Source organism: Homo sapiens, chromosome 8 (assembly GCF_000001405.40).
Source record: "Homo sapiens chromosome 8, GRCh38.p14 Primary Assembly".
NCBI lineage: Eukaryota > Metazoa > Chordata > Mammalia > Primates > Hominidae > Homo > Homo sapiens.
In genome coordinates this window covers 84525497-84548260 of record NC_000008.11, presented here as the reverse complement: position 1 = coordinate 84548260, position 22764 = coordinate 84525497, and the positions used below count along the sequence as shown (strand labels likewise).

Here is a 22764-nt window from a genome sequence, read left to right as displayed (position 1 = left end):
TGAACAAACAAACACAGAAAATCATACTTAAGAAAAATACGAGATGGAAAGGAAGTAAATTTTAAAGATCAAAAATAAACTTTAAAAAAAGATAAAAAGGATTTGAGAAAAAGTGATAAACGTAGAAGTTAGCAAAGAAATGTTAAACGATATAAATTAGCTACCATAAATTATAAGTTGAGAACACATTCCTGAAAAAAAATCTAATTTGAAAATATATACTAAGGGAACACATTTTTAACCTGGAGAAATTGACCGAGAACAGCTAACAAGTAAAAGTGACCTTCAAGGATAAAGGCTACAACTTTGAGGATAAAAGCAACAACTCAGGGAATATTATTCCCATTAGCCTTTCTGGGGAATATACTAAAAGTCAAGCTTCAGACAATGAAAACCACTGGAAACCTGGGTAAGGACCCATGGTAAACATTTACCAGAGAACTCAACTCTCAAAAATGATATCAACTTTTATCATATGAATGTTTACCAAATTGTGGCATATTATCCCACAAAGAAAACTTCAATAATACAATAAATTAATGACAATGAAAAGGTCTTCCTAGAGATAAAAGGAAAAAACTTGGCTGAGTACAGTGGCTCATGCCTGTAATCCCAGCACTTTGGGAGACTGAGGTGGGCAGATCACAAGGTCAGGAGTTCGAGACCATCCTGGCCAACATGATGAAACCCTGTCTCTACTAAAAATACAAACGATTAGACGGGCGTGGTAGCAGGTACTTGTAGTCCCAGCTCCTCGGGAGGCTGAGGTAGGAGAATCATCACTTGAACCCGGGAGGCAGAGGTTGCAGTGAGCTGAGATCGCATCACTGCACTCCAGCCTGGCCACAGAGCGAGACTCCGTCTCAAAAAAAAATTAAAAAAATAAGTAAAAAGAAAGAAAAAAAATAACAACAGTCCTTGGATAAAAGAATTACTAAAACTACAGAATTTTAGAAAAATATAGCATATCAAGTGCCAGAAATAACGCTAAATACCTATGTTAATTTGAAAATAAAAATTAAGAATAAAAAGTAACACCCACTTAAAAAGATGGAAAAAAATGTTTAAAAATAAGTGGGAGCTGAACAATGAGAACACAGGGAGGGGAATATCACACACTGGGGCCTGTTGGGAGGGCAAGAGGAGGGAGAGCATTAGGATAAATACCTAATGCATGCAGGGCTTAAAACCTAGATGACAGGTTAATGGGTGCAGCAACCCACCATGGCACATGTATACCTTTGGAACAAACCTGCACGTTCTGCACATGTATCCCAGAACTTAAGGTAAAATTAAAAAAATTAAAATTAGAACTAAGATGTAAATCTAATAGCTTATTATTTGAAAACTCCAACAAAATAGACAAAGCACTATCTATCCTAACCAAAATAACTGGGAAAGGAGAGTAAGAAAGCACAATTATTACTGAAGAAATAAAGTCATTCAAGAGCCCTACCCACCCCTAAAATCCCTAGATACACTTGGTTATCCAGGGGAATCCTATCAAATTCTTTAAAGATCAGATAACCCAAGCATAGTAAAATAAGAAATGTTAGGAATTCATATTGTGCCAGAGTATAAGATTTCTCCAAAAAAGTAAACAACTAATCAACTCACTTATAAACAAAAATTGTAAAATTTATCTAACAGAATTCAGCAACATAATAACAAATACATCACAGCCAAGTGGCATTTATTATTAAGAAATTCATTAATTCACAGTCATCTATCTCATTGGTAGAGTTGTGGAGAAAAGTCAGATGGTCATCTCCATGATGCTAAAAAGACGTTTGACAAAATTCAGTACATAAGTACATATTTACATTAAGATTTCTCTCTTGGCTCGGCGTGGTGGCTCACACCTGTAATTCCAACATCTTGAGAGGCTGAGGTTAGGCAGATCAGTTGAGCCTAGCAGTTTGAGACCAGCATGGGCAACATAGCAAAACCCTACCTCTACTAAAAATACAAAAATTCGCTGGGCATGGTGGCATGTGCCTGTAGTCACACCAGAGGCTGAGGTAGTAGAATCACTTGAGCCCGGGAAGTTGAGGCTGCAGTAAGCCGAGATTGCGCCACTGTACTCCAGCCTGGGCAACAGAGACCTTGTCAAAAAAAAATATATATCTTTTTCTCTTCTCTCTTTCTGTCTCTCTCCACTGTCTCATCCCGCCCTGCCACTTCCTCCTTCTCACATACAGTACACACACATAAACTCAGTCCCAAAGTCAGAATTTTAATGTGGAAATGTTAGAAAATTTACTGCAAAATCAGGAGCAACACAAGAATGTTCATCACTGTTACTAATACCAAAGTCCTTTTGGAGCTATCAGTTAATACAGTTTGACAAGGAAAAACATAATAATTTGATAATAAAATGTAAGATATCTTTACTTGTAGATATGACTATATAGTTTGAGAAGCAGAAAATATCAACAGGACCACTTAAGAAAGAGACAACTTGTAAAGTATGTCATTATAATATTACTCCCCCAAAGCTCAGTAGCATTCATATATGAAAACAAAATCAGTTGTAAGATATAAAGAAAAAAAGATATAATGTGAGAAAATACTCTATTTATGCTAACAAATTTAAAAGAATGTATTAAAACAGAAACATAATAAATATACATGAGGATCATACATGAAGTAAACCATAAAACACTTCCAAAAGACACAAAAGTAGATCTGGACAAATGGAAATACATATTATGTACTTAGTTGCAGAGTTCCAATATCACAAAGTTGTCAACCCTTTATGTTTATTTACAAATTTAAAGCAAGCCCAATTAGAATATAATATTGTTCTGTATCTAAAAATTTTGAATAAAAATTTTATTTGAAAGAAAAATCTAGTAGGTACAGAGAGGACAGTTTTGAAAGAGAACAGCATGGAGTAGGACTGTCCAGCCAGATGATAAAACTACTCTTCTCCAATGAAAATCATTTAGTATTGACAGGTTTTAGTTCAGACAGACCAATGGAACAGAAAAGCAAATCCAAAAATAGAACTGGTTGCTTACGGAAATTTTAAATACCACACAGGCAGGATTTTAAACTATAGAGGAAAAGATGGATTATAAAATAAGTGATGATGGTGTAGCTGGATAACTGTATGGATATGGTAAAAAATTGATCAATTTCTTATATTGCATATCAGTGTAAATTCCACATGGATAAGAGACATAAACTGCATGAGGAGAAAAAAAGGCAAGTTTTTATAGATGTTAGAAGTGGGAATTTTTTTCAGAAATATGATTCAAGGAGCAACAGTGAAAAGGTTAATGAATTTAATTATTTTCTTAATGTATAAGAAAAATACAACTGATTTCACTTATAATAAGAGAAATACAAATTAAAACTATATGAGATACTACTTATCATCATCCATCAGATGGGGAAAAATTCAAGTTTTACAAATATATTTTGTGTTGTAAAATATATTCCAAATATATGGATATATGGAATATATGGAAAACAGATGCTGTCAAACATTGCATGATAAAATGTGAAGTTGAATAATATGATAGATAGTTGAAAATATCTGGCAAAATGTAATATGTTCTTACTATTTGATCCCACACTCATTTCTTGGAATCTATCTCAGTGTACCCTATGTAAAATATGAAAGAGCATACTCATCAGGTTATTTTCTGCAGTGTAACTAATGATAAGAAAAGACTGGAAACATTTGAAGGTCAGTCATCACCTCAGTAGTCTGGTTTAATAAACTATGGCACATGGAGCATCTACACAATAGAATACTATGCAATGATAAAAAGAGAGTATCTCCAAAAGATATGAAATTTTTACAAGAAAAGACAAATAAAAAATCTGACATGGATAAAAGTATGTTTAACACATCATGATTTATCTAAAATGGAGAGTATGTAGATAGAAAAATAGATTAGATTTTTAAAAAAATAAAAGTTTACAAGTGGGAAGAGAGAGAGGATAGCAGAGGGAAAAAAAGCTAAATTTCTTTGAATATATATATTTTTAATTTGATTTTGGAATCGTGTAAGTATCATATATGGTTGTAAAAAATTAAAGAAAAGCAAGTATAATAATCAAACATTAAAACTGTGTATTTACTTGGTGACATAACCTCACAGAGGAGAACCACTCCAAGTGACTTTAAAACATAATAATTTTGTTGTTCTTACCTAACAGAATATTCTCTGGAATATTCTGCAGCCCTCAAATAAAAAATTATTAAACTCTTTTCAGATATCATAATGATGTTGGTGCTGGTGGTACTGTTTTTCTGAGACTTATAGGTGTATTGTGGGATAAAGCAAATGAGCAGTCATAATAGTGTCATTGAGAAGTGATATTTCTGACAATGCTGATCGATGTCACTGTAAGATTGATGAGGTTAATGAGCTTTCTTAGCACCCAGAATATTGGATCTAAATAGTATTCCCCAATAAATGATACCAGAGTATTTTAGAGAACTGGTTGATTCCCAACATGGGGCAGGAAATTATGACTCAGAAACATTTTGTCATATCAGAAATAAAGGAAACTATCAAAGACTCTTAGAGTTATGTCAAAACGACCCAGAAACCAACATAAATATGGTGTCAAAGCCAAAGTCATAATAATTTGACCATTAATTGAGATAATGGCAAGGTACTGAAATATATCTACTATGTTTAATCCCTGAGCTCATAAAATTATTAAGAATATTTTAAAACTCATTTTTAGTCTTTAGAAAATACTAGGAAACCACTTTACTAAGTTGTTTTTTTTTATTTTTTTTATTTCCATAGATTTTTGGGGAACAGATGGTATTTGGTTACATAAATAAGTTCTTTAGTGGTGATTTGTGAGATTTTGTAAAGTGATACACCACCACTTTACTATTTTGAATACTACTATAAAGGGGAAATAGTAAGTTACTTTATTTTTCTATACAATCATAATTCATGGTAATCAAATATGTAATGAAAAATATTTCTCTTTTTAGAATAATTCCAGCAAAAAAAAACAATAAAAAAGACAGGAGTGAATTTTATATTCACTGGCTGTTAGCACCAAAAAAGGAGAGAAAATCAGACATGTACCTTCTGATGGAAGTTCACAGTCACCAGGAATAAATCTTTAAAAAATTCCACCTGAATCTAATCAAGCCTCTAGATATAATTAATAATTTCCAGGAAGTACAAGAAACACAGAGAAGCAAGTTAAATGATACCAGAAGGATGCAATAATCAAACTGTAGACCTGTACAATTATATAGGACAAATGATTTTGTTCTTTCAATGGAGTCAAAATGTATTTCAACATAAAATACAAGGGGATGTGGGATATATTAGGAGAGCTTTTAAACTAAGAGACTTAAGGGACGTGTCAATGAATCTCAATCTCTGTATCTTTTATGAATTTCAATTCAAACAAATTAATTAAATGATTATGAGAGGGAACTGTGAAAACACGATTGTTACTAGATTTACACTAAGGGATTACAGCAATTATATTCAGTGAGATAATGTATTAGTCCATTCTCATGCTGCTATGAAGAAATATCCAAGACTGGGTAATTAATAAAGGAAAGATGTTTAATTCATTCACAGTTCCTCAGGGCTGGGGAAGCCTCAGGAAACTTACAATCATGGCAGAAGGAAAAGCAAACACAGCCTTCCTCACATGGTGGCAGCAAGATGTGGCAAGCAAAAGGGGGAAAAGCCCCTTATGAAACCATCAGTTCTTGTGAGAACATAATGAGGGTAACTGCCCCCCATGATTCAATTACTTCCCAAATGGTCCCCCTCACAATACATGGGGATTATGAGAACTACAATTCAAGATGAGATTTGGGTGGGGGCACAGCCAAACCGTATCAGATAATAATATTGTGGTTATTTAAGAAATTATAATGTATGTATTTACATATATACATATATGCTGAAACATATATTATACATATACACACATGCATGCTGAAATATTTGCAGATTAAATGATGTAATCTGAGATTTGGAATTTACTTCAAAACAATCCAGGTACTGAGGAGGAAACGGATGATGTATAAAAAAAGTAAAATGGTATAAGCTGAGATGTATACAGTAAAGTATACAGAACTTAGGAGCTAACAGAGTGGAAACGGCAAAACAATAAAAGAAACATTAATCTAAAAATGGCCACAAATGAACATGCAGTACATGGAACAAATTTAAAAAACAGCAAACTTGTAGACACAAATTCAAATATAACCGCAATTAAATGTGAATAGGTTATTAGAATTAAAAAAACAAAGGTTGTCCTACTGTATTTGGAAGATTCTATGTTCCTTGCAAGAACACTTTAAATATTAAGACACAGGATCACTGAAATTAAAACGGATGAAAAATGATATACCATACAAACACAAATCAAGAGGAAGTGAGTTAAGGAATATTAAGATTAAACCAAGCTTTTCTCTAAGACAGAAATAATTACTAAAGATATAGATATATCATACTATATGAAAGGATGACTACATTAGGAAGATACACCAATTCCAAGTTTGTATTTACTAAATATTGCTTCAAATATATAAAACAAAATAAAGAACTAAGAAGATAAACAGAAAGATCCATAATCGTAATTCACATCTATTAATAACTGATGGAAAAGAGGACAAAAATCAGTAACGATGCGGAAGGTCAGAGTAATTCAGTTAGCGATTTTTGCCTGTTTGACATATAAAGAAGGATACCCAGAACAACAATAGAATATATGTACTGTGTGTCAACTGCATATAGAACACTAACTAAAACTGACCATATCTAGGGCTATTTAAAAGTTCTCATTGAATTTTAATTAATTTTATTATATATTATTTTCTGGTTACAGTGAAATTAAGCTAAAATCAATTTTTAAAATTATAATGTCAGTAACAAACCTCTCAATAACCCATGGTCAAAGAAGAAATATAGACATGAACTAGAAAATATTTATCAACTAAATGATTCTGAAAATATGACATACTAGAACATGTGGGATGAGGCTGAGACTGTGCTCAGAGAGAATTACAGACTTATATGCTGTTTTAGAAAACATGAGAAGCTAAAAATCAATGATCTATGTCTTCATTCATGAAGTTAGGAAAAGAGTGGCAAATTAAACCCACAAAGTGTAGAAGAAAAAAAAAAGGATATTATTCCAGAGTAATGAAGCAAAAACAAACATGCCATAGAGAAAATACACAAAGCCATAATTTGGGTGTTTGAATAGATGACTAATCTGACTTAAAATGAAAGAGGTAAGGGAAAAATTATCACTATTCTGATTAAAAAAACAAAAAGACATAGCTTAAAGTTCTTAATCTTATGCTAATATATTTGATAATGTGTATCAAATGTACACTTTTTTTTGAAAACTCATTTTTCCATAACTGACACAAGAAAATATTTTAAAAATCTCAATAGTACTTTTCAATGAAGGCAATTAGATCTGTATTAAAGATAGTTCCACAAAATATTCCAGACCCAATTGGCATCATTGATGGATTATCCAAATGTTATGAAATGTTACCAATCACATGCAGATTCTTCCAGATAACAGGAAAAGTAGGAATGCTTCCTAGTTTGTTCTATGAGGCCAGCATCTCCTCGACAGTACAAATGGCATGGACATAACCAGAAAAAATATTATAAGCCAATAGTTTATCATGAACATAGAGGTTAAAAAAAAACACACAAGACAACACTTTTTTTTATCATGATGGGTTGATTCCAGAAGTATGAGACTGATTTCACAATCAAAGATCAATTGTTGTAGTTCATCACACTAACAGAATAAAAGGGAAAATAAAAATTCATTTGAATGCGTGCATGAAATATACTTGATAAAATTCATCATGATTTCCTGGTAAAAGTTGTTAGCCAACTAGAAATAGAAGATAACTTCCTTAATTTAATAGAAAGTTTACACATACACACACACACACACACACACACAAATCCTATGATAAACAATAATAACAAAATATTAACAGGTTTCTCACGTAATGAGACAAAGCTACCTACCATCATGATTGCTCTTCAATATTATTCTAGAATAAGCAAGGAAAGAAATGAGTACGTATTGGAAGATAATAAATAAAACTCAATTTTTTGCAAGAGACATTGTTGTACACATACACTGGTTTAAAAATCTAGAGTAAGCTTAAAATTAATACGTGATTTTAGAAGGTCATAAATACATCAATAAATAGACCGGGAATAAACAATTAGGAAATATGTCCAAAATGGTGTCATTTACAGTATTTATCAGTATTATTTACAATATCATATTTGCAGCATACGTTTAATTACATGTAAATTAAAATGTGCATGTGTGTGTGTGTGTATGTCTGTGCATGTACACACACACACACACACACACATATATATACATATATATATATATATATATATACATATATATATATATATATATGTATACTTGATCACTTAATATATATTCAGAGAGACATTTCAGGGCAGTTAAAAAACAAGAGTCTCTTCAACAAATCCTGTGGGATTACTTGATATTCACATGGAAATGAGTGAATCTTTTTCACTATCAAATACCATACCAAAAAATTCAATTCCAGAGGTAGTAAAGTCTAAATGTGAATAGTAAAACCAATACAAAAGTCCCTTACAAGGAAACACAGAAGCATGTCTTTATGGCCAAAGAAGAGGCAAAGATTTTTTTCAACAAGACAGAAAAAGCAGAAACCATCATGACTATTTGGTCTTTTTTGGGATCTTACTGATCACCTAGTCCCATGGCTTCCTCACAAATGAGAAAATTAGAGCCAGAGAACATAAATTCTTGTAACACGACCAACACCTTCAAAAAGCTAAAGATCTAGGACCTGTTTCTCCAGTTTTCTAAATTCATTTTTAGAAGGCATTAAACAGTAGGACTTAATTGGATATCTAGCCCTTTTGCCTTCTTTTAGGTTTTTACATCACTTTGTATGTCCCAGGAAATGTTTTTAACCATTTTACACATATTGATGCATTTAATCTTCACAACTCTATGAGGTGGGCCCTATTCTGATACCTACATTTTACAGACAAGACAACAGCAGCTGCTCCTTTAGTAACTTGTCCAAAGTTCCACATGTCCTAAGTGGAGAGCTAGGATTCTAACATAGGAATCGTGAGTCCTGAGCCTAACTCGAAACCACCAACTTTCACAAACATTGCAAGCTATATTTCAATTCTGTGTTTTGGTTCCAATTAAAATTACTTAAGAATTGCAGCCTATAAAGATTTTCTTCATGATTATACTCAATTTGTTTGCCACATATTTTAGAGTAACAGTTAAATTCAAATCCACATTTCCTAACAGGCCTTATTATAATCCACATTTCCAAACAACCTTATAATACTTTTTATTTAAAATTCCGGTAGCACTTGATGTGTGTTACGTAATGCCTTGAGTTTCCCACTTCCTATTGTGTGTTGTTTTATAGGTGAACATTTTACTCCACAACTGGCGCATAAGCCTTTCTTAAATAAATTTACAATACTTCATCCTTTTATGGTATTTGATCTGTATTACATCATGCTTTATCTTGTATTTATCATCTTCATCTGCATGTTATCTTATGTATAAATATTTTACTCCACAATTAGAATATTTTCCAAGAGCTGTAATCTATTTTGTTTTATTATTTTACTTTATATTTTATGTTATTTCATTTTGGTGGAGGCACTATGTTTTTATTCTCTTTTAGAATTTAACATATATGTTGGCAAGCATCTAAAACAACAAATGTAGTGTTGAAAGAATAAATATTTCCAGTAGTAGAGCATTCTAAAATTAGTTCATAAATGACTTTCAGACATTTTATTCCCCACATTAAAGGATAACTTGAGACACTGATTTTTTCTATTTATTTTATATATTATTTAGCTTTGTAGTAGGAATTAAGTAACAACAAGCAAGTTAGAACTAATACAATCTTTAAATGTTGCTCAGAAGTTTCCAATGATAGTTTTAATGAAAAAAATTATTTACAGTCTCTACCACTGCTTTCGCTAATTTAGGTTCAGTGATTGAGTCAAATAAGCAATTTTAGAAATAGAAAGCAAATCCCCCGGGCTTTCTATCATATGTGGGGCCATGTATCTCCCTGGCTGACAGACCGTTAGTTCTACAATTCACTCTATCGTGGAGGCTTGCTAATTAGCATTTGTTTACAGCATTTTAAGTAGCTCTGTTTAATTACTGAAAACTTTAAATGTCTGTTGTGCTTTATAACCCACATAGTATTGTTTTTATTACTTATTAATTGATGACAGTGAAAGATGAGGATGAAGACTTCTTAAACAATTACCAGATTTATACATACATACATACAAACCTTGGAAGTAGAATTAAGGAAACTTACAGTAATTATGCACAATATTGGAAGAAATTTCTGAGATTTTTGTTTTCATAAAACCTGCTCTCTTTAAGTACATTATAGAATTCCCCTTATTTGTAAAATGAGTTTAATTAAATCTACTATCTAACTTCCTTGAAGGATGCTGGAAAGATAATTTTTTAAAAATGTAATGAAGTGTACCTTGATCTTCTTTGAGAAGGTTGATGAGGAAAAAATGATATATAAATAAAAAACATTACTACAAGCCACTGATACAGGATGGCAATATATTTCTATGAATCTCAGAAAAGATGAAACAAAAGTGATTTGTACTGAATACCATCTCGTAAGTAATTTTTCACACTCCCACTCATTTGTATACCATTTAAGTCCCTCCACAGCCTTGTGAACAGACTTTTTTTTTTTTTTTTTGAGACAGGATTTCACTTTCACTGAGGCTGGAGTGCAGTGGCATGATCACAGCTCACTGTAGCCCGCTACCTCAATTTCCCGGGCTCAGGTGATTCTCCCACCTCAGCTTCCTGAATAGCTAAGATCACAGGTGCATGCCACCAAGCCCAGCTAATTTTTGTATTTTTTGCAGAGATGGGGTTTTGCCATGTTGCCCAAGCAGGTCTGAAACTGCTGGGCTCAAGCGATCAGCTTGTCTCGGCCTCTCAAAGTGCTGAGATTATAGGTGTGAGCCACTGCGCCCGGCCCGTGAATAGAGTTTTTTTTTTTTTTTTTAATATATATATTTATTTATTATACTTTAAGTTCTAGGGTACATGTGCACGTATACACCCTGAATAGAGTTTTTAAAACAAATATAGTAGCCATCTCTACATAGCATTCTGCAATTGATGAACTACTTTGCATAATCTGTATAACATAAAATATGGTAGGAAAATTGGATGTTTAAAATATAGGAATGAGTTGAACGTTTAGTTAGTGGAAAAAGCTAGAATGATGAATAGTTTCAAAGGTTGTTAAGAAAAATTCCAAGATTTACATATTCAAATATTTTTGTATGCTTATTGCAGCGAATATTTAAAGTAGCTGAAGCACTAACTTTTGATTTGTATCTTCGAGAGTGGAAGTTTTGTTAACCTATCAAGTTAAGAAATTATGATAACAATATCTTCTTTAGACACTGAGGCAAAAGCTAAAAATTATCTTCTTTTTTCTCAGTCCAAATGGTAATAGAATTACATAATGGTGCATTGCTGAAAGTGCTATTTATTACCTGCAGCATTCTTTGGATGTTTTCTACAAGATTTTTCATGACTTAGAAATCTCCATAAGGTTCATGTGCTTCTTTAGGGGTTCTGTGATAGACTACTTTGTCAAAAATGATTATCCATACTCATTTCACCCCAGGCTGTCTGTCAATCTGTCCTTGCTAGATGCTCAGATACTCCATCTAATTTGAAGCTGGAGGCATATGCAGAAGAATAATACTTACCAAAGTGAAATAGGATGGATGCTTGGTAAAACTAATGTATTTGTTAGAGACAACATCAACTAGGGATACTACAATTCTGTATTTGTCTTAACAAGTTTTTAGTGTTGTTGTTGAATAATATATATTTGAAGATCGTCCTGAGCCTCTGAGTAATCTTGGTACTCCGTATTTTTCACTTAACTCTTCCATGATACTTTCTTTTTCTTCATCATTTCTAGTGGCGATTAGACATGTTTGAATGGAGGGATCTAACGGAGAAAAATCACACCTCTAAAAGTCAGTGTATTAAAGATGTGAAGAGACAGAAGGCTTTGTAACAAACTGGTGATATAAGTGGGTAAGCTATGGTCATGAATACATTAAAATTGCCCTGAAACGCACTTACTGAGTTTTATTTCCTGAACAATTGGAAAAGATACATTCTTATTATAAATTATGAGTTACTGTCAAAATAATTCAAAGCATTGTTTTAATATAGTTTATCCTAAGACCATTAGAACAATTCTGAAAATTAATGGAGTTTATTTTGGTATGATTACCCTACAACAGTAATTCTTAACTGGAGTGATTTTGCCTCCCAGGAGACATTTGGTAACATGGAGACAATTTTTGGCTGTCACTATTTGGAAGGGGTACTATAGGTATCTTGCAGGTAGAAGTCAGGGATGCGGCCGGGCGCGGTGGCTCACGCCTGTAATCCAGCACTTTGGGAGGCCGAGGTGGGCGGATCACGAGGCCAGGAGATCAAGACCGTCCTGGCTAACACGGTGAAAAACCCATCTCTACTAAAAATACAAAAAATAAAATAAAATAAAATAAAATAAAATAAAATAAAATAATTAGCCGGGCGTGGTGGCAGGCACCTGTAGCTCCAGCTACTCAGGAGGCTGAGGCAGGAGAATGGCGTGAACCCAGGAGGCGGAGCTTGCAGTGAGCCGAGACAGCGCCACTGCACTCCAGCCTGGGCGACAGAGCGAGACTCCGTCTCAAAAAAAAAAAAAAAGGCAGGGATGCTACTAACATCCTACCATGCACAGGACAGGCTCCACAAACAAAGCAAAATCAATGAGAGTAACTTTTTACTCTCAAAAGTATTACTGTTTGGATGACAGAGTTGATGATCACTCTGCTGAAATGGAATAAATTTCTGGAAAGAGAAATAGTAAAAATAATTACGGTCAGAAAATGTGAGCCAACAATCTTGCACCACCATTTGTGTGATATAGACTAAGTTCATTTCTCTGTGCTTTGGCTCCTAACCAGCAGAATGGGCGTAAATACTAATATTATTTATTGGCATTGTTGTGAAAATCAAAGAAGATAATATGTGCATGAAAGAACTTTGACAATGATGAAGTGCCATGCAAATATCCAGCTATTAATAAGAGAAAACTATGAAAGGATGACATTTTAAGGAATGTGTAGGAAGTTTTTCATGAATAGAAATCTTTCTTCAAACCAATATATCCTTCACTCTAACTTTTGAATAAAGTATATATGTGTTAATATTTCATGCTTATTAAAGATTGGATTATATTTATAAAAAACTGAAATCAGGCCTACGAAACAGTTACCTTTGGAATGTCTGTTGAAGAATTTCAAGATTAAATACCTAGTCTCCTTAGCAAGCTGATCATGATCACTTTGCCTTCGCTTAGCAGCAACCCCAACTATATCGCCTCACTTTCTGGGGAACTTGTAATTGCCACTTCTCCTTCCTTCTTCTCCCTGTTCTCTTCTTATTTCTCCTCCTCCTGCTTCTTTGTCTTCTTCCTGTGGTGCTCTTTTCCATGTGAGGGACCCCTTTAGCCAAGTCCATCCATTCCTCCTACTAACCATCTATCCAATCATTCATCCAGTACATCCTCACTGAGCATTTGCCATGGAAGTGTTAGCATTTTGTTAGGTGCTAAGAAGATGAGTAAAAACATATATATTCCGTGCCCTAAAAAACTTATAGCTTAGAGGGAGAAGGGACAGATATCAATTACAAAATAATAAATATAAAAATACAATTGAAAAGAAGATACTTGCTAGAAAGTGAAGTAAAACACTCCAGCTAGCTTTGAGGGACACAAGTAGGTTTCACTAAAGTACTGAAATTTCATTTGAGATCTGAAGAATGATTAGCCAGGCAAAAGGGATTAAGTGGGGAAGTAGGGTGAGGTGGTGCAGAGCTTCATAGGGAAGAACTTTCTGAGCAGTCAAGATAGCATGTGCACAGGCCCTGTTGGGCGATAGAACACAAGTTGTTCAAAGAACTGAAAGAAGTGAATGTAGTTGTAGCTCTAAGCAAGGCTGATGGGGCTATGATGTGAGTCTGCAGGTGACAAAGAAACAAATGAGGTAGAAACTTGTAGCCCACAGCAAAGGTTTCATTCTTTTTTCTGAGAACAATGAGAAATCCCTGAAAGTTTTAAAAGACAGTGACATGATTAGATTTGCATTTTGAAAAGATCACTCTGGATGCAAAACAGTTGGGGATGAAAAGACATTTGAAATCCATTGCTCTCAGCACATGCTTGACGGGAATTGTTACAAGCATTTGAATGTTCTCTTCTTTGTTCTTATATCTCTCTCAAACATCTTCCTCTCTACTAAGACAATTCCATTACTTCCTTCAGGATCTAGTTAAGTATATTCACCATATTTACTTTAAAATTTACCATCCCTATTCATCATGTTCCCACTTTGAATTCTTTCTGCATTTGCAAGACACTTACAATGTGATACAATTAATTTAATTCTCTGCTTTATATATTCTTTTCCTAAAGCACACTTTGCTTCTTAAGGACAGGGGCCTGCATATGGGTTTCAGAACAAAAATGATTGCTCTAGATAAATTATTTTTCAGTGTTTGGTTCCTCCTACTATCCACAGCTGGCTTCTCAAGTTCATAAATTGTATCTTTTACAAGCATTGTAACAGTAAAATAATCCGAATATAAAGAAAGACATTGCAAATGTTTATTTATAGCATGTCTGTAATCAAGCCAATGTAATCAATAGATACATAAAATTGGCACTGTCTAGTCTTAGTCTCTAACCTCTGCATAACATTTTGTGTAAAAGGACACTTCGTATGTGACTACTCATAAAAATTGTCTCTATTAAGCATTTAAAATGTTTTTATCTCGCATATAATGTGTTTGAGGAAAAAAGTTCTAATGACTACACTTAGATTGAAAAATGCAATAAATATTTCCAATATTAACAAACTTAGAATTCAAACTCAATTAAATATTAAGAGGATATGTTAAATTTCACCTGCTTATATTTAAATTGTATTAAAATCAATTAAATAACCAAATATAGACGTAAAGTTTTATGAGGATTTTTACATTATAGGAATTGTGATTTAAAAAAATTCTGAATAATGAATAATTTCATAGATAGATTCTGACATTTTAGGAATCCCTAAGTAATATGAGTCAAAATGCAATCTTTTTTGTTTTTCCACAGAGGTTTTAGCAGTCTTCTATTATATATCAAAGACAGAAGCTAAGAATAAACATGGATACCCTCTATCATGGTGCGAAAGACGTGCCAAACAACTGGAAATGTATAAGAAAGTAAATTAAATTATGGCCAAGTTATCTATAGTCTTCATAAAACTTTAAGAACTGACATTAGAGTGTTTAATTTTTCCTGGTACTACTGATGTTTAATTTTTAATCTCTAAATCATATATAAATATTTTAAACATGCAGTAAATAAAAGATTGTTCCTTTTCAGAAAATGATGTACAAATATGCATTATTTGAGATCAAATAAGGTAATAAAGGTAAAGTACTAATGCAGTGCATGATCTAATCAATATTAATTTCCTTCTCACTCTTAAGAGAAAGGAGAATGCTTAGATAGGTCGTGGTACCTGACACTAATAATAACTTCATATAATAATAGCCTATTATTTCATCCATAAAAATGCACTTCATATTAAGAACTGGCCGGGGTTTGTTGGAGGGCAGATTAGAAAGAGTTTACTTGGGAATCAAAAAACTCAAGAAGCAAGTGATTAATATACTTGAACCTAAGTTTTGCTCAAATCATCAAAAACAAAGGTATAATACTTAAAGCTAGAAATGTATATACATCCTACAAACTGAGGGTCTTCTTCGGGACCTGATGGATGAACTAACTTCTATAGGGAACAATTGGAAGTCATGTCTTTGCCTGAGTTTCTAGCAACATAGTAAAAAACAAACAAACAAACAAAAAAACCGCTGGGTATATTCAAGCACTTGACCTGAAAAGCAAAGTTGTTAGATAAATTTTAATGTACTTGCTTTGTATGAAGTCATTCAGCTTGGACAGAGGTAGTGAAAGACGAGATTTGAACTAAAGAAATAAAGTCTAAGACTTGGTTTCAGGCACAAAGTGTGATTATAGATGATTAGGATATATGCTCTAAAGATTTACCTGAGGACAAAACTAAGAGAGGATCTAAGAGGAATGACTGAGAATGAGAAATGGTATCTTAGAAGAGGTACAATTTAACTTTGTGCCTCTCAAAGCAAAGCAATTTGGTGTCATCATTTTTTTCCTTGGGTTTGTGCATGTAAGGCACTACATTTTTAGTGTGGTATTTATCTTTGCCCATTGCATTCTTCTCAAAAAGACAGCAATCAACTGAGTAGTGATAGGAAACAGAACTCCAGAAAATTAGCTGTAGCTCATTAAAAAGTGAATCAGGCTTTTAATTGATCTTAAACTGATAATTAATTTTTCAAACAACAAAAATAATTAAATGCATTTCCTCAAGTATTTGTTAGTTTCATAACAATCAGGATACAGACAGTAAATAGAGCTTGCCCTGAAATCTGCTGGGATATGGCCCTGAATTAAGACTTTCAACTTAAAAAGGAAAACACAAATGTCAGAAAATTCCCATATCAAAGTAAGCAAGCAGAATGGAGACATTAAGGAAAACAAAAAGACAAGTGGAAAATATACCAATGTCTGTTGGAAAGCACTTCCTTTCTTTCCTTTCTTTAAAATATAGAAAGTTCGATGGGACCAATGTAAATAAAAACTATATTCCTATCTGATAGTGATTTGTTTGCAGTTAAATATCAGGCACTTACCCAAAACATCTTTTGCTTTTTTCCCTCAAGACTATTCCCTCTGACTTCTCCTACATTTTAATGAATTCATACCTTCCCAAATAGTTTTAATTGTGTTATATCATTTGATAATATTCACAATATTCTTAACACTCTCCTAGCTTGATTTCTCTATACTTTTAACTTGCTTCTTTTGTATGCTTCTTCATCTTTATATTTGTGGTCATGACACAGGTAAGATTATAAATTGAACTATGTAATCCAGATTCTGATAGGTGCTATGAAAAAAATTAACACACAGTAATAGAATAGACAGTGAAAGAAGGAGGAAGATGACTATTCTATTTTAGATAGGCTGGTCAGTAAAGGCCTCTCACTGGAGGTAAATTTTTAGCACAGCACACTCTAAAGAAAGGAGCAAATAATTAGCAAAGACCTGTTGTCTGAGCAGAGGGAATAGCAAATACAAAGCCTCTGAAGTAGGAACAATCTTGGAATGCTTGAGGCATTATCAAGGCAGCCAGCATTACTAGAGTGGTTCAAGAAGGGAGAGAGAATAAGGAGATAGAATTGAAGATGTGGCAGTATAGGGCATTGTAGGTATGGTATAGAATGTGAATCTTATTCTGTATGAGAAAGGCATTAGAGGTTTAAAAGCAGGTTAAGAACATAATCTGATCAATGTTTTTAAAAGACACTCTGGCAAGAGTAAAAAGAAGCGGACCAACTAGGGAGTTATTTCAGTGCCCCTGAGATACAACCATGGGCTGTATGAGATGGCCTTCAGCACACATTTAAAAGGAGATTGGGTTTGGACTATATTTGTAATATATTGACAAGCGAACTTGATGATGGGGGAAGTTAAGAATCAAAGTTTTTTTTTTTTTTTAAACTGGATAAATTGGGGGTTCCCTTTATTGTGATGAGGAAATTTGGGAGTGGAGAAGGTTGAGGGTATGGAAAATCATGGGTTTTGTTCTGGGCATATGAAGCTGAAATGCCTTTTGAGTATCCATGAGAAGATGCTGTACAATGAGTTTGATATATTAATCTAGACAGAACAAGAAACATAAATTGAGGAATCATTAATATATTAACCATATTTTTTTCCTAAGGTAGAAAAACATCTAAATAATTATCTAATTTTGATTTTTATCTACACATTAATTATAAAATATTTTTCCAAGTCTTTTTATTTCAGACTGCATTGTTTTCCTTTCTTTGAAAAAAACTATATTATTTCTTGAACATTAGACAGAAATCTGATTATTATGCATGATTATACAGGTATAATACACAAAATCCTTAACTAGATTTTTAAAATGTGAATTATATTCCTTTCCCCATTCTAAAAATTTACTTTCTTTCGCTATTTTCTACCCCTTCTCCTCCAAAACATAGGAAATGAGGAAAATGCATTAGGCTCAGATCAAATGCTATAAGTATGACAAGTGAAGTTATTTTTTGCATAGGATAGTGTTTCCTGGAAGACAGATGCTATCTCAAGTCAAATAAAGTTAAACCTGATGCATATTTATTATTTGCCTGGCTGTGTTAGGATGGGTGGAGGTAATAAGTATTGCAAAGTAGCCTTGATCTCAAATTTATAAATTTGTACAGAAAATAAGATACCTATATACAAAACAATATGAGGATGAAAAAATATAAATAATAAATATAAAATCACTCTAATTGGTTAAAGAAGAGGTAGAAACAACAGTGGTGTTGGGTTTTGTGAAATAAAACAATTTCCAGATATATGAACAATAACGTGAGATCCATGTCTGAGCATGACTTACCAAGTGGTTGGCCGGCGATGACTCTGGCATTTTCTCCAGCCACTGCAGCTCTTGCATGTCGCTCACTCATGTACTGTACAAATGCATAACCTTTGTGAACGGAACATCCAACTATTTTTCCATACTTTGAAAAAATGGCTTCAATGTCAACTTTCTTGACAATTGCCGTATTTAGATTGCCGATGAAAACACGGGAGTTGATGGACTTGGGGTCATTCTTATTGGTGACGTTGCTGGTCTGTGTTTTGCCAGTCATGATTGGCTCTCCTTGCTTTAATCCTTAAACAAACAAACAAACAAACAAAACAAATAATCAAAAGGTAAATCATTAGATCGAATGGGTATCAGTGGCTTTTTAACAGTTTTTCAATATTACACTCAGGAAACCTCCAATCCCTAAGTATTAATGATTTTCTTGAGAATAAAATTAATATATTTAGTAATATAAAAGGTAAGTATTGCATTGCTAAATACAGTAGAAAAAACATAATCACTTAACATTCAGTTATAAAGATTCTTGATTTGTTAATGACTGAATATTTTGCAGTTGTTTTTATATTTAAGTCTAACTATTTTGCAAAAGAAAGTTTGAGGAAAATCTGCCTTATTCTATCAACAGCAACCAAAAATCCAACATGGCTAAGGTCTGATGATAGATGTAATAAAGAAATGTAACCTCCATCTTCTGTTTGAGTACATGCATTTTTATTTCTATATTTCTGTAATAGGTAGACATACTGTCTATTTCAACATCAGAACCCTTCTGTCAGAAACTAACAATTTGTTCCATTAAAGGCTGTGGAAAAGGAAAAATGGTATTAGAAATTCAATTCAAAAATTTAACATAAGAAAACCACAATTTTAAAAATAAGCGACTTAGCCAGAATACTATATATGCTATTTATTTGAACCAATAGTACATGTCAGCTTCATAAAAACACAAAACAAAACAAAACATAAGAGCCAGTGTTCATCAATGATCAGCAAATTAGTAGATTAGGTAACTGTTGAAATTTTATTCTTAACTTCACTTTCTAATTCACTTAACTAAAGGCTCCTATGTTGCCTAATGATTGCTAGTATTTTTAAAAATCATTTTGTGAGCTTGGTAGAATATCTGTGTTTAATTAAATTAAACAAAACTTTTATTTCTAAGTATTCCAGCACATATAGATTTATTCTTAAGGCCTTGAAAATTCCTTCCTTCCTTCCTTCCCTTCTTTCCTTCCTTTCTTCCTTCCACAACATTTGCTAACAACCCATTTTTTGTCATGCATCATTTACAGTACCTATTAATTTATAGACACCATTAAGGCTAAACTAAAATTTCAACAAGGTAACAGTCCCTGACATTGATGATCATTGTTGAACATTAGCTAATTGATACAGTTTGTCAGTGACAACTATATTTTTATATGAAGGCTCTCTTAAAATATTACAGCTACAAAAATAAGTGCATCTGATTTTTAAGAATCATTTAAAATGATATTTCTAAATTAAGCATTAAGGCGGTGGAAGTCTTTAAGGCATGTAAATTGGATATGCTTGAAAATGTACTTATTATGCATTTAAAACAGATACTCCTGAAATCAAGAGCAACCAAGTAGCATAAAATGTTTCAAATTAAGTTGTTCAATATTACATCTGGGATTTTTAAAGCTTTACTTCATATTGGACAGCCAACATTATAAATATCTCCTTATAATGAAGATCAGTTTAATAAACAATACATTCAGTTATTTACATAAAAATTAAGAGTAAAACACCATTAGAAACAAAGATTATAACACTGCCTTGTATTGATTCAGATTAGCTACCTTTAAGTGGTTCCTTTATGAATTATTCAAAGTAGAGTTGAAGAAAGAAAAGTTGATATATATTTTTTTATCTTGCAATTTGAGATATTGTATATCTCAAGACAAATGCTCTGAGAATTAATGAAACAAGAAAAATCAAGATAGGTAATTTAGAGTCAGTTTCCTTTCTTACCATTCCAAGCCAACACCAGTAATACAATCCACAGAAAGCATACTACTTTGTTTGTGATCTCATGTGACATATATTTTTAGAAACACCATAGAGTTATTTTCAAGGGTAAACAATTCTTATAGTTGACATTTTATTTCCTGGACAGATATACATTGGTTAAAATGCAAACACAAGAATTGCTAGATTAGATCAGACCTGTGGTTTACAGAGCCCGGTGGTCTGCCATTGATAACCCTTGGTCAAATTTAATTCGAGGGTACAGCTGTACTCTGAATCCTCACTGTGAATGTCAACATGCTATCTTGGACTCTGCTCTGTTCTTTTATTCTGTGTAGATGACACTCATACCTGTACCTCCAAACTGACAACTGTGTAATTCTAATTAATAACTCTTACTTACCTTAAAATCTATACATATCTATATATCTAATTTTCTTCACAACCACCGACTTGTCAGTTTCTATCAGTGTTTATAAGAGTAAGTTTTGTTGTAGTATTGTATTCTGTCATTTCAACATTCTCTAAAAGTTAGGCCTCAATTCATAGTTTAATATCTTTTCTATTACATAAACTTTTACATCAGTTGAAGAAAGACTTCCACTTTCAGCCACGATGGAGTAACAGTGACTAAATTAACCCTCCTGACTCAAAGAAATAGAAAACCAGGGAAATATAGATGAAGCAACTGTTTTTAAGACATTAAACTACAGGCAGTACAGAGCCATTACATCTGAGAAAGAAGAGACAAGGAAAGTAAAACATAGGACAGCCAAGCTTTCTGCCTGTAAAACATATTTCAGGTCTAGAGCAGTGTCCGTGGAGTGGGGAAGATATTGCAAACTGAGACAGTGACCCTACTGAGTTGAGGAGATACAGATCAGAGTTCAGAGCATCTGGGGCAGTTGGAATTTGTGTGACAGGTTTCTTGAGACAAGAGAGCTATGCAGACAAAGAACTCTAGAAATCTGCTTTAAAGTCCTTTGAACCTATGCTGATTTCTAAGTCATGTATGCAAACGCTATAATTTCACGAGGCTGGGCAAGAAGTTATTGCAAACTTGTGAACTGAATGATTCCAAGAACTGCAGAAGGCCAAGAATCATTCAAGTTCCTACCAGCAGCAGTGCAGAGTCCAAATTGACTACCTGGAGAATTAAATTTAGGCATCAGAAGGGTGAGCCTTAGTAATGGAGATTAAAGATTCCAATAGGTAAAGGTATTCTGTGACCACCCTAGCAAAAGTTGAAAACAAGGCTTAAGATGATCCAACTAAACCAGAAACAACCCAAATGTCTGTCAAAGAAAAGTATAACACTTCTTTAAAAACAATAATTGGGCCAGGTGTGGTAGTTCACGCCTGTAATCCCTGCACTTTGGGAGGCTGAGGTGGGCAGATGGCTTGAGGTCAGGAGTTTGAGACTAGCCTGGCCAACATGGTGAAACCCCATCTCCACTAAAAATACAAAAAAATTAGCCAAGTGTGGTGGTGCACACCTGTAAATCCCAGCTACTCGGAAGGCTGAGGCAGAAGAATTGCTTGAAGTTGGGAGTCAGAGGTTGCAGTGAGCAGAAAGTGCCCCACTGCATTCTAGTGACAAAGTGAGGCTCTGTCTCAAAAAAAAAAAAAAAAAAAAAAGAAAAAAGAAAAGAGAAAATAGAAGTCATTCAATCACATAAAATACACTATTTTCACCATCACACAAAAACTCCTACAGATCTTAAGAATTGAAATATGACCCATGACCAGAAGAGACATTAAAGATGTTAAAAAATGAATCAAATGGGACTTTTAAAGATAAAAACTGTAATATCTAAAACTTTTTTTTAAATCACTGAATGGTGATGAAACTGCAGAAGAACGAATTTGTGAATTTGAAGTTGTAGAAATAGAGAATATGTAAAATGTAGTATAGGGATAAAACATTGAAAAAATATACAGAGCCTCAGTGAGTTAATATTTAACTCTGTCAAGCCGTTAAACATATATAAATCTGGAGTCTCCAAGGAGCTAGTAGAAAAATATTCAAGAAAATTAATGGCCAAAATATTCCAAATTTGATAAAAATGATAATCCCACAGATCTAAGAATCTCA

General features: G+C 33.2%; 1 protein-coding gene across 55 annotated transcripts in view; it reads right to left on the bottom strand.

The window, feature by feature from the left end:
• The window catches only part of RALYL (RALY RNA binding protein like), a 739058-nt gene that overhangs the window by 373584 nt on the left and 342710 nt on the right, over positions 1 to 22764 (bottom strand). For 52 of the 55 annotated variants that reach the window (NM_001413301.1, NM_001413300.1, NM_001354325.2 and 49 more), the window contains one exon: positions 18684 to 18962. The exons of the other annotated variants lie outside the window; for them this stretch is intronic. In NM_001413301.1, the coding sequence (NP_001400230.1) occupies positions 18684 to 18962 (279 nt within the window). The remainder of the gene's footprint in view (positions 1 to 18683; positions 18963 to 22764) is intronic. 55 annotated transcript variants of the gene reach the window in all.